This window comes from Homo sapiens, chromosome 12 (assembly GCF_000001405.40).
Source record: "Homo sapiens chromosome 12, GRCh38.p14 Primary Assembly".
Classification (NCBI taxonomy): Eukaryota; Metazoa; Chordata; class Mammalia; order Primates; family Hominidae; genus Homo; species Homo sapiens.
The window spans coordinates 78944629-78958856 of record NC_000012.12 but is presented as its reverse complement, the minus strand read 5'-3'; the positions used below and the strand labels follow the sequence as shown (position 1 = coordinate 78958856).

At 33.3% G+C, this 14228-nt stretch overlaps 1 protein-coding gene and 1 long non-coding RNA gene across 16 annotated transcripts in view; one reads left to right on the top strand and one right to left on the bottom strand.

Moving 5' to 3' along the window:
* The window catches only part of SYT1 (synaptotagmin 1), a 588027-nt gene that overhangs the window by 493152 nt on the left and 80647 nt on the right, over positions 1-14228 (bottom strand). For 6 of the 14 annotated variants that reach the window (XM_047429479.1, XM_047429484.1, XM_047429480.1 and 3 more), the window contains 2 exons: positions 4499-4630; positions 3291-3395 (listed from right to left, as the gene is read on the bottom strand). The exons of the other annotated variants lie outside the window; for them this stretch is intronic. The gene's annotated coding sequence lies outside the window, so the exon portion shown is untranslated. The remainder of the gene's footprint in view (positions 1-3290; positions 3396-4498; positions 4631-14228) is intronic. 14 annotated transcript variants of the gene reach the window in all.
* The window catches only part of LOC105369863 (uncharacterized), a 197856-nt gene that overhangs the window by 144023 nt on the left and 39605 nt on the right, over positions 1-14228 (top strand). The gene's annotated exons all lie outside the window — the stretch shown is intronic.

Below are 14228 nucleotides of genomic sequence, written 5' to 3'. Positions count from 1 at the left end.
TTTTCTCAGATACTATACAGATCTTGAAAGTTTTCCACGTTTGCGTAAATGATCCAAAATGAGGTTAAGCATAGTGTGGTTTCCTTTATTTCAAATTACAGCTGCAAGTAATAAAACTCAATCACCATAAACAATAATGCATAGTTTTTTTTTTTTCTCTTCAGAAAGAGTTTTGCTTTTGTCACCCAGGCTGGAGTGTGGTGGTGTGATCTTGACTCACTGCAACCTCTGCCTCCCAGGTTCAAGTGATTCTCATGCTTTAGCCTCCCGAGTAGCTGGGATTTCAGGTGTGTGCCACCACACCCAGCATATTTTTGTATTTTTAGTAGAGAAGGGGTTTCACCATGTTGGCCAGGCTGGTCTCCAACTCTTGACCTCAGGTGATCCACCTACCTCAGCCTCCCAAAGTGCTGGGATTTCTGGTGTAAGCCATGGCTCCCGGCCTTGTTTGTGTTTTGATTGATTTTGGCCTGTTCCTGAACATAACTGATAGGGACTAAATAAGAATTATATAAACAGGGGAAAAAAAGAAAAAAAAACATGGCAAGGAACTTATAGACAAACTTGTTTTGTTTGGATTTGTGAAATAAATTTTAAAAAGAAATTTGAAGTGTTTATTGATTACTTCATTTCTAAGTGACAGCTCTTGTGTGCAGTGTTTGTGCTGTTGCTTGAAACTACCTGGGCTTCAGAAGCATAATCCATTTATTAAAGGACACTTGGAGAAGGGAGATAAATCTTTATCTTATAACTTTCTTCACAAAGAAAGATGAAAAGTACACTCAAAAATGGTTTTTTTCCATAAAAATTAGTTTGAACAGAATTATAACAGGCTATGATCTCACATGAAACTATGCAAGAATTTAAAGGAAAAGAGAAATTAAAGTTTTTTAGTTATTTCTTTTGTTTGAAAATTATCTGAAGGCTGGAAAGCAAATAAAATTACAGATTGGGTCAACTGATTTTAAAGTCTTAAGCAATTTCTGAACCAAACAATTTGGTATAATGTTACTGATTTTCTACATTTTGTAGGATTTCTTTATTTACTTATTTTGTGAGTATTATTTGAAAACACCTTACAAGATTAAGATCTCCAGGTTTAAAAAAAAATGTGCACAGGACCTTAACAACCCAAAATAACAACAACAACAGTAACAATAACAAAAACCATGTAGTGATTCAGTTCAGCACGCTATTTGACTCCCAAAGAAATGCAAAGAATATAAGCTTTTCCTTTAAAAAGAAACAGGATCCAACCTTGGCTCTACTCTCCTACTAGCTGTGTGATCACAGACAAATTACTTAATCTTTCTGAGTTCATTTTAAAGCTTCAAAATAAAGTCAATAAAATTCATCCCAAAGAGTTTTTGTATTAGTTGAAATAATGTAAGTATTATGCTTAATGTTTGAACGTCGTAAGTGCTTCAGCAAGAGGCAGGATGAGAAAGAAGAGTTTTCTTTAAAATACTTAGAAAGCACTTTTATTTAAGGAGAAAATGAAAGTAGGGAAAAAAAGTAACTACTTCTTAGGTATTCTTCTTCTTTATTTAAAATAGAGACAGGCTCTCACCATGTTGCCCAGGATAGTTTGAACAACTGGACTCAAGCTGTCCTCCTGCCTGGGCCTCCCAAAGGGCTGGGATTTCAGGCATGAGCCACTGTGACCGGTTTTAGGTGTTCTTCTTAATAATCAAGGCACATGGGTATATTTTCCGGTAAATTGACAATTGATAGAAAAACTAAGCAGATGTTTGCCCATCAGTCTCCCTCAAACAGTGGACAGCCAGTGGAATCAACAAATGTGACTTTCAACAGCAAATCTTTTTCTGATTCTGACCTTATCTCCTTAGTCCTCTGATAAAATGGACAAAGGATATAGTCCATATTCACTCTGCTGTGCATTCTCCTTGAAATCACTGATGTGGGGCTCCTGTCCTATTTGATCTTTCTTTTTCAAGTCAGGAAAGGCTTTATGGCCTAGATGGGTTTTGAAAAATAGACTCCATTTAACTGCTCTAGAGTACATTTAAATTCCCAGGAACTTTAGTTCTTCATGTACAAAAGTTTCTTGAACTTGATAGAACTTATGTCAAGAAATAAAGTTTATATTTTTAATTTTATCTTTTAACTACATTTTCCATAAGCTTTTTGAAACTCCCTTATATATACGGAGTCAAATCTCAATAAATATTACAGAGTAATTGGCTACTAAAATACAGAACCTCTGCACAAATGTCATTATTTTTGACAATAAACACTTTTTTTTTTTCATTTTTGATGCCTATTTTAAGTTTAAAATGATTTTCATCATTGTTTCAGGTGTTTGGGCCACATTCCTGAAACACGTTAAAACCTCCTCAAGTTTTCTTTCTAGCAGGGGTAGGGAGAGAGATATTAACTCAGTTAACCATCAAGACAATTTAATGAAATAGATGCTACTGTTTCCCCAATTTTACCCATGAGGAAACTGAGGCTCAGGGAAGTTAAACAAATTGCCCATCATGGAAAAAAAAAGGAGAAGAGCTAGGATTCAAACTCAATAAGTGTGTCTCCAGATTATTTGTCTGTGTTTTATATTAATATCTTATGTTAAAATGTTCCAGGTATTTCTCAGACTGTTATTGCACTTTTGTGAAATATTTATTAAATGCACATTCTGCCCCCCCATACCAGTCATTCTGTCAATGTTGGTACTCCATTATTACTAAGATACTCTCTCCCAAATTACTACATACCACATTTCCATTCAAAAAGTATCTGTGTTCAATAGAGAAGTAAAGCACCCTCATACTGCACCTTCATTGCAGTATTTTTTCATATTATAGAAGTTTCCATCCTTACCCACACACCTTGACCTCTTTTATCACCCCATTCCACACAGATCAACTCATTTATTTTCAGCCAAAGAAAAATATTAAACTACGAGTTTGAACTTGAAATTTCAAAAGATAGGGGAAAATGCAATTGATAGTGCAGACATTGCATTTGAGTGCTTCTCTCTCTCTCTCTCTCTACATGCACACACACACACACACACACACACACACACACACACAAATATCTTGGCAGAAAATAAAACGCATGGACCCAGAAAACTGTTAGGTTAAGGGCAAAAAAAAAAGTTTCTTTCTGGTCCTTATAAAGCTTGTAGTTCAATGACACTAAAACCAATTGCTGTGGTTTGAATGTTGTGTCTCCAAAAATGGCATTAAGAGGTGGGCCTTTGGGGGGGCTCTGCCCTCATGAATGGAATTAGTGCCTTTATAAAAGAGGCCAAGAAGCTTGCTTACCCCTTCTGTGGTGGGAAGACATATAGAAGTTACCACCATAAGGAATGGGCTCTCACCAGACAGAATCTGCCAGGGCCTTGATCCAGGAGTTTCCAGCTTCCAGAACTGTAAGTAATACATTTCTGTTATTTATAAATTACCCGGTCTAAGGTATTTTGTTATAATGACCCAAATGGTCTAACATACCAACTAAAAATCTATGTGACAAGTAAGCATATGCTTTTCCCTGAGGCACAACTGGTGTTATGGCATTCAAGATCTATGGACAAAACCTGAATGTGTGTTTGAAAATCGATCAAGCAACGCTTTTCTTGTCTTCTGAATTTTGATCCAGTTGATCATTCAGATATCACCTGAATATAACATGTTGTACAAAACCAAACAGAACTGTTGAATTATTAGAAACTCTGTTTAACCGTCATTTCAAAATGAAACGGCATTAATGACATCAAAAAATTCTTTTATAGGAGAAATAATTTAAAAACCAGAAATGTGAAATTAAAAGACAGAAAAGCAAATCTCAAAAGGCACATGAACTCAGCAGATGGATTTACACAGTTTTCTCATCTTCAAACTTCAGAAAAAGATTTTGATTATCTCCCTTGAAAACTGTTGTTATCATTAAAATAAAAATTCCATCATCACTTCCCTTTCACTTAGTATTCAGGATAATCACAAGCTCAAAAATAGAATTTAAATTTCTGACTAATAGTGCAATAAAAGAGTAGAGAAATATAATGCAGGCAATATGCATTTGTTTAAGTACATTTTAGCAAATGGCTCCTTTAGATCTAGCATTTATTATTTTACACAGATAGATGAGTTACATATTTTATTTTTCCCTCATGTGCTAATATTCAACAAAGTTCTAAATGAAAAATACTTCTATTTAAAGTTATTCATCATAGTATACCATTATTGAAAACAAATCTGTAGGGTAAATATCATATGCACAACAAACTGATGAAGCTTAAATTAGCTCAATATTAAAAAGATATTTACATATATTTTTCTTTCTCTCTTTCTCTCTCTCTCTCTGATGTTCCATGTATATTTTTATTATAAGAAAAGCTACACAGGGTACCACATAGGATCATTCTGAAGACTGTCACTTAATACCTGCTATCATTTTGGTAATTTAAAAAATTACTATATATTCAAATATAAAAGTTATGTTAATAAGTAAAAAGTGGAAAAAAATCAAATACCTGCTCCTCAAGTCAGAGAACACAAATAATAGATGATAATGTTTGAGTTAATTGTGAGGCTGTAATTTGCAGCAGATTTATTTTCATGGTCAAGGTGACTTCTGGATATACTGAGTGAATCCTTACACAAAACTATACCAAAAAGAAAACATGTGTCAACCCTGTGGGTGGAGGTGACATGCAATTTAAAATGTTTAATTACACATTTCACCTTAGCTAAACATCCTGAAAGATGACATGATCTAATTGGAGATTAATGCATTATTTCTCTAAGGCCACAAATGAAGTAGCAGCTAGAGAAAGTATCTCTCTGATTCTCTAAGTAGTCCAAGAATTCTATGAAGTGCCTTTGTTCACCATGTGAATCTGAATAATTTGCCTTAATATCACTGACCCTATAAAAACAACTGAAATGTTAGTAGACATATAAATATCATTGAGGATTTTTAAAAAAAATATTTGGATAGTTTTAAAAAGCAACCCTGGCTAAGGGCCCAAAGCAAACCAGTTTAGTGCTAATAACAATAAAAAATCTGATGCACTTTCTTTTCCCTTTCTCTTCTCTCCCACATATTCCTTCCTTATTTCTCACTCTACTGCTCCAGGCTCCAAGTTCTTTCTTTCTAAATATTTTATGAAAAATTTCAAAATGGTTTTTCTTTTGGCTAAGTAATATTTGTGTTTTCTTAATGTCATACTGTGGTTTGGGTTTTCAAATTTTACAAAAAATTGTGTTTGCTGAATGCCTGACTCTTTCAGACATTGCTTCTTGTGCATTATTTCCATTTCCATGAGTTTTCAAGACAATAATACCTCAAAGCTCCTTAAACGGGGCAAGACTTTAGGATTGGGCGATGATGATACTGTTCATCCAGTATGAGTCAGTGTATACATAAATGCACTTCGGATACTTCTAATGTGCCACACTCTATGCTGGAAATAAAAAGGTGAACTAATCCATCTAAGTAACCCCTAGGAGCTATAACAAATCAATGTGATGGGTGCAATAGCAGCACATGAGCAATGCATGGGTGCTCTGAAGAGGGAATGTTCATTTTGAAGTGGACTCTCAGACCAGATACAAACATATCCATTTCATCTCTTCCCTATATCATTCATTCCTATTCTCATCCTTTAATGTTAAAAAAATCCACTTTCTCCAGACTCACAATAGTCTAGCCACACAACTTGTCTTTTACTCATTCACTCATGCATTGATTCCTACCACCGCTCTTTTTATTGTGCCCTTACTATGTGTTAAAGGCTAGAATACAGTGATGAAGAAAATAGACAGTTCTGCTTCCAAGGAGCCTATGGGGATGAAGTAAACTGAATATTTAATTGCAATTATTGAGTGCTAAAAAATGAGACACAAAAAATTTTGCCCTCTTGGTTTTCTCATTAAAGGTCAATTTTTCCTTTCTTTAATCTAATTCTGGCTTACTTTGTTTTTAATAGTCAGCTTAAGAAAAACAAAACAAAACAAAAATCCCTCAGCATATAGAATGTGATTTCAATAAATCTATGCAGTCTCTACTTAGGAAAAGTTGGTCTGTTTTCATGATGGAGAAAGGGTTGTGTCATCCCGAACAACCTCCTTTAGCAGTGGCCATTTAGAAGACCAGAATTTACATAGTGGTCATAAAGCCACTCATTTATTTTTACCCTGTGGAAAGAAGAACATAGGGGAATGTAGGAATAGAGTGATTCTGTGGACCTAAAACATGACAAAACTGTAGTCTAGGAATATTCCAGAATTACCTATAAATTAATAGTAACAACAGTACTTTTTGCTTTAGCCATATACAGTATTCATCTGAACAGAGGATGAGTCATGGTATCCTGACAGTCCATGCCGAATTTGAAACAAACTGGACCTATAATTTATAGTACAATAGAACCCAAGACAGAGGCACATGCAGTCCAGGCTCTTTAAATATTCTATAAATAATAGCTCAGAGAGGCACAATTGACAATGAGCAGAGGCTGGATGATGAATCATCAAGTAGTTTAAGTAAAACCCTGCCTGATTAAATGCTTTGTTTTTAAACCACCTGCATCAGTGTCTGCTGTAGCAGGACAGATCAAATTGTTCTAGGTCTTTTTTTGAAAAAGCAGACAGGCTTACAAATGATAAGTTTTATTATATTATGAAACTGATGCCAAACTGAAGCGCTGAGTATTGCATAATTCCAATTATCTCCATTTTGGCCCAGGATTTCGTGCCAGGCAATGTTACAGATGCGGCTAATGTAAATGATCAAGCTTCTTCATGGTTTTGGGTTGTATGCTCATAATTTCATTTTGCTCTTCATGGCCTGGAGAATTCATTTTTCCATCCTTCACTTCGGGAGTCTTTTCTGTTTATCCCACCAACCAGTTACCAGATGCTATGCCGACTAAGCTAATTAGTGGAGTCTCCTTCGAAAGCTGGAGCTTGCTGAGTGTGGTCATTAGAACAGACAGAAGTGCAGACGCCAGAGATGCCCTGAATGACACATAAGCTCCAGAAAGCACTCACGTAGCCAAATCACTGGGAGCTGCACGGAGGTTGCGATTAGACAATGGCAAAATACCCACTCAGGTGAACAAAAAAATCTGGTCATTCATCTGGCTTTTAACATGCTCACTGGTAGGTTGACTAACTTGTTCACTGTACTGACTCAAAATACAGACTAGGAGAGTTTTAAATTACTGTTAACCAGGCATTGTATTTCTTTGCATAATTACACATTGACATCACATATTAAATGGTACATTTCTCCCACCTTGGAGTATTCCAATTACTTTAACATTTTTATGTTATTAGATACCATATTAATGTTGTCCTGGAAACCAAAATTACACTGGTGTTCATATGTCTTCTGTATTATAACTCAAAATGAACTTTGGACTATATTTTCACCTTATAGTCGACATTATAACAATTCCTTGCCCATATAACTTTCCTACCTACTATATTGGTAACTACTACGTGAAGATATTGATTCTATGTGTAATTTGTTTTTATATCCCTAGAGTCTAGCATAAATCTAGGAAATAATAATTGTTTCATAAGTTTTGTTTAATAAATAAATAGATGACTTCCTGATCCCATAATAGACTGACGTATTAGGAGGTAAAGAACGCTTTTTACTCAAAAGAAAAGAAAATAGTTGTTTAAAAAGTTACAAGTAAGGATTTATTATGAAAGCAATGGGATTACTGAATTAGGAAAAAAGATTTAGTCCATATACTGAGAGTTTGGACTTGACTATCACTCTGGAGAGAATACATACGTTCATTTATGTAGAGGATTGCCTCATTTTCCAACCAAACCAATTAGTTCCAATATACTATAATATGCACCAGATGGGAAAATTTTATTTTTGATGTCCATGGGTGATGTCAATTTGTATTTAAAATGTAGAAATATAGAAACCCATCATTCCTGCTGAGACAATTTTTGAGCTGATACTTTTGGCTAGAGCACTATGGCAACTCCATTTTTGTCTGAACAGCCAGGTTTCCTGTTAAGGATGTTAGGTGAAAATCAGAACAGCACAATTTTTGTGCTGTTTAGAAAAGCAAATCAGAGATTTGTGGTTAAGGAAAACAGTTTGAGACTCAAACCATCTGATTAAAAAAGCATGATCTAATCAAATAAATATACATACATTTAAAGTGCCTTTCCTGCAGTTTGTTGACCTGGAATGACCAAGGAATCATCCAAACACAACTGATTTTGAAGATTTGTTTTGCCGTATATTATGTATGTGTCTTTCAACAAACTTTTCAACTTCTTTGAAACATATTGTCTTCTACTGTAAAACAATGCTCACAATTTCTACAAACAAATGTTTTGATTTTATGAAATTATATATGAAAAAGTCCCTGGCAGTTCCTATATATTCCACAGAAACTGGTCCCCTCATATCACAGAGGCTTATTAGAAACTGTGTAAAAATGTAAATTCCACTAGAAGTGTGTGTGTTGCATGATTGTTCATTTACATATGTTGCATGATGGCTTATATTACTGTATTAAAAAGATACTTCAAAAAGGATTATTCAATTGAATTATGATGCAGTTATTTAATTAAACACTGTAGTGACAAAATTATAAGGTAGGTTCATATGTAATGATATAAAATGCTTATGCCTCATGACTGAATGAAAATCTAGTCTATAGCAAAATGTTATAGGAAAATGTCATTAATGCAAAAATACATATTCATGCACTACCAAAAGTCTGAAGGGATTTACACCAAACTGATTATTGCAGTTACTTTTAGAGTATATAGTAATAATTCCAGGGAGGCTTTTACTTTCTTTGTGTTTTTGAAAAAATAATTGGAGAATTGTGGGTTAACAGAAAAATGCTAAAATATTTGTAACTTGTGAAAAAAAGTTATTCTGCTGCTATGTACAAACATTTATTATATTATTTATTTACTCTTCCTGTTCAGTTAGAAATGCATATCTTAAAGGTTTTCATAGTTCAGATAATCCAATAGAATTTAGGTTGCCCAGTTTCACATTTTTCCTGTTTGTCCTTTCACCCTAATGGGATGGAACTGCCCTACTATCCTCTGTGGCTTCTCTGTTTCTCTGATATGCTTCTTTCTCAATATGCTGAATAAGCCAAAATGAGAGATTTGAAAATCTGTCATATTTTCTCACTCAAAAATAAATTTTGTTACTTGCCTCCTTTGAATTCTCTTCTTTTAGGGGAAGTTTTATGTCTGCAATAACCCATCTTGGATATTTTCTATAGCAATGACTCAGAAACATTTGCCATTGTCAGTGATTTTCTGGAATATAGATACTTCAAAGTGAATTATAAATGCAATGGTATTTGAAATCTCTTAAACTGGATATTATTTAAGGTTTTTTTTTTTTTAATGAGCTATATTGTCTTGTGAGAACTCACATCTTCTAAACTTTCTTGGAAATATCTTGAAACCAGTAGACATATTTTACTCGTTATCATTGACCTGCACAGAAGTTAGTTGGTATTACTTTAAAAAAGTAATAAAACTTTATTTCACACCCATTTTAATATAGCCATCTTGACTATTCATGCAATATATTTATCAAATTTTCTTCAAGTATTTCACGGGAGTCCTATATTTCTAAAATTATGTTCTATGGTACAACTACAATGGCACTTTTTCTAGTATTTTTTGCCTATGGTTCAAAAAATATGTGTTCTCATATTAGCTCAGAGGTATACCATTTCTTTCCTATAATTGTAGTCCTTGTTTGGAGAAGTCCTATAGCCAATCACTAGCAACTGGCATAAAGACGATCACTGAACTTAGTATGACTAAAGAAAGCAGTGACCCAATTCAAGAAACCTAAATTTGGTAGTTGATAATGTAATATAATATAATATAATATAATATAATATAATATAATATAATAGGCCTTGATTTTTGCTACAGAAAAAGAAAGAGATTTTAACTTAGGCTTCTGTAAGAAACTTACATTTGAGACAGCAGAACTGGAGTTGTCACAAATTTATTATCAGGGCATGTTATGGAAACACCTCTCCATGGACACTATGCAAGTAGTTATCTCACTTTTGGCACAGTGCACAGGAAGAAAATGGATACTACTTAAAATGCTAACGTGTTCAGTTTAAGATTTTCATATGTCTGTGATAAGATGAAAGGAAAATGAATTCTTGACCAGATTAGAATCTTGAGAAACTGTCAGTCAAACCCCACTTGTCATGCCTTAGGTTAATAAAATTCACATAATCCAATATACACATGAATATATTAAATGCAAATTTTTATCTGTGAAGTCTAAATTAATAAGCAGAATGAATATGGCTTCATTTTATAGAATTATATAGAACAGACATAAAATGACCAGCAATTAGAGTGTATTATATCTGTATCATGTATATCACTAATAATAGTATATTTTCATTAAAATATGGGTTATGAACTATGCTAAATAGTGTGAGCATCATTAATTTTCTGTCACAGTATATTATACAAATTTAAAAGGCAGTAATTAACCTAACTTAAATGTTTCTTACAAGCCAGCTGTTAATTTCTCGATGAAATAATACATTCTGTAAATTGCATTTTGATTAGGAGTAAAGATAGCAATATGACTAAATGAAAAAGTTAAATATGTCATTAATTATACAAAACACTATTCCATGACTAATTCCTTCATTTTGAAAGCCTTTAATATACTGAGTTATAGTAATATTGACTTTAAAAAATTACCTAAGTAATAGTGCTCTCTTTTTCTTAATTAAATGGTTAAATTAATCTGCAGGACCTTTCATTGTTATATTTGTATCTTTTTCCATAACTATTATTAAGTTCATCACCTTTCTTATGCAATATATCTATTTTTCTTTCAAAGTTCTAAAAAATGAACTTGAAATCTATAGCTGGTATTTTAGAATGTTAGTGGGCTATGAAGGGATTTTAATAGATTAAAATAAAATATTTATTAAAATGTTTTAAGAGATTGGTTTATATAAAAGACTTATATTGGCTTTTTTTTTCTCATCCATGTAGAGACTCAACCTTTTTAAATTCTATCTTTTTTTTTTAAACAATCCCTCCTGGAATAGACTCGAGCTTTTTTAAACCAATTAAAATAACCTAAATAGTTATATAAAGAATAACAACATTTTGAAGAAAACATAGGAACAAAACCAAACAAAATTTCTGTTATCCTCCAAAGCTACATTAGCTATTTCTAGCTTTTCTGTATTCTGTAGGCACTGAGAATATGAACAGCCTGGGGAACACCAATTTAGTACATATTTTAAAGTTTTAATCTCCATTAGACATTTTATCCTAAGTGAATTTTTTTTTTTTTTTTACTAGATTCAACCTTTTGTCAGACACTGTCTCTGTCATCTGGCTAAATTTGATAAACTGTATGAATAGTCCATAGTTCTTGCTCAAATGGTTTGGTTTGGCTTTAGAGGAGCCCCCAGTTCAGTAGCCACTGGGTTTCCAATTCTAGGTCACGATGCGCACATAATCTAGCCTAAACATGAGTGATGTTTCCTTCAGGAAAAGAGCTTTGCCAGTGAAAAATTTTCAATGTAAAAATACCTTCATTTTTCCTCTCTATCATTTGGTATATTTGCCAAGTTGTACCTAAAAGCTCAAGAAATAAGCAATACATGAGGGACATCATTCACATTTCTGTGAGAACAGGAAGCAACCAAGATAGCAGGGGAAAGTAGTTGCAAATCTTTTGGGAATAGCTTTTAAAAATCCAAACAACCTTAAGTGATGCTGTATCACAATATCATAATAAATCATTCAGATACAATAAATAAATGTCATTAAACATTTGAGGAAACAAAACTTGGGTTTTGGTGTGTTTTTGAAAACAGAGAGGTATAAAATACACTTTTTACTAAGAGGCAGACTCATAAGAAATAAATATGTGTATACTGCATTCTGATCCAATCCAGTGCTCCTACTGTTCATCCCAAAGCTAGGATATTTTAGCTAAAAACATATCTTCTCTGGTCATTACATTTGGTGAGTACGTGTATCATCAGAAAAGTATTTATTACTTATTTAGTATAATGTTATAGGCACTATAGATTTACTGAGTTTAGTGGGTTTAAGAATTGCTCCAGGTTTTATAAATACATGCTTTTTCTTTTCTTTTTCTTTTTTTTTCTTTTTTTTGACAGAGTCTTACTCTGTCACTTAGGCTGTTAGGCTGAAGTGCAGTGGCACGATCTTGGTTCACAGCAACCTCTGCCTCCCAGGTTCAAGCGATTCTCCTGCCTCTGCCTCCCGGGTTCAAATGATTATCCTGCCTCAGCCTCCTGAGTAGCTGGGATTGCAGGTGTGTGCCACCACACCTGGCTAATTTCTGTATTTTTAGTAAAGATGCAGTTTTGCCTTGTTGGCCAGGCTGGTCTTGAACTCCTGACCTCAAGTGATCCACCCGCCTAGGCATCCCAAAGTGCTGGGATTAGAGGTGTGAGCCACTGTGCCCAGCCATAAATACAAGCTTTTATCCATTACGTATGACTAGAACATAAGCTTCTCAAAGACAAGACATTTGTCTTTCTTGTTTCCTGCTGTATCTTCAGTTAGAAGACACCTGGCATTCACCAGATGCCCCTCAAATTCTTGAGGCCTGAATAAACCTGTTCCCTCATTGGAAGAGATGATCTTTTGGAAATGTTTACTTCAGATTTTAAATGTTTTTAAAAAGACATTTTATTGAAATAAAAACAAAGGAGTTTTATTTAAGAATTCTCTAATATATAACTATTTGTGTGTTATTAATCAGCTGCAATATTATCACTGTGTTATAGCCTAAAATTTTCTCATGGATGTTACTGCTTGAAAGAAAAGGTCCTGAATTTTTCTTTGAACAGTATTAGGTTGAGTGGTGCCATTGAAGAGGAAACTGGATATTTTGAACTAGACTTCTTTTATTTCCCCCTTAAACCTTCTTCTACAAGGCTAAAGAATCTTAGAAAAAGTGGTAAAACCAAGAAGGGCTGCCTTCGATTATAGGTAGGATATGTGTGAGGCATGTTGGCTATGGGGTTGAGGATCAGGGACTGAATAAGGGTGGACCGGGCACAATTGTCCATTCTTTACTCTCTCTACAAATGGAAGTGACTTCCCATTAATATTACGAGATTCATGTCTTTGGATTACATTGTCAAAATCTACATTAGTAAAGAAGCATAACCCTAATTTGACTAAATTAGCACCAAAGACTGATGATTCAAGGAGTGTGTCATATAAGCACTGCTAATCTCATTTTCTGAACAGAGGAGGGAGGTTTGGCTTGAAAACATTTGCCTAATCACATCATTGGTTAACCTAAAATTGTGTAATTTTATAAAGAAAGAAAGAAAGAAATGTGTATATATATATATATATATAGACACACATAATATAAATGTAAAATATGTATGAATATATTATGTACATATATGCATATGTATAACATATGCATATCATATGTGTAATATTATATATATGTGTGCATAGCTTTATAAGTTCCTACAAAGAAAATCATACATGAAAGAATATCTTAGGCTAAAAATCCAATTAATCATTCACAGATGCTCAGGTAAGAAAAAAAATCAAGTTAAGGTGCATTTATATTTTTAAAGTTTAGAAATAATTTGTAAAAATGAAATAATTACTTATTTATTCTGAAACAAAAAAACAGCTGAATTGCTGTGTTATTTATAAGTTCAGTTTTGTCTATACACACCTGTGGCTACACATTCTTTTAAACTGGTTTTACTAAGAAATCGACAAGGAAGGCAAACTGATGTGGTGGTGATTGAAGTTGTCATTCTCACACACATTTCCAGGATTGGTATGTAATAATGGAAATTGCTCTTATTTGAGTTTGAGTACAGTTTGTCTCTGCAACATTTCAAAGGAAATTTAAGTATCAAATGCTGAATCATGTCCCACATCTGAGGGAAAAACATTTTTGCTTCAAAATTATTCTACATTAATCTCAAGTATTTTGCATACTGGATATTAATCTCAGTTATTATGACATAAGACTACACTGTGTGTGTGTGTGTTGATTAAAATCAAAATTTAGTCAAAAATTTTAGTTTCTCCAAAATTGTATTTAAAGGAATAATTAAATGCTGTCACAAATAAGGTAATTACAAATAAGGCATATTTCTGTTTTGAATTAATTACAACTTAATTTTATTTCTGTTCTGTAACAAATACAGATTAATTTCATTCTTTCAT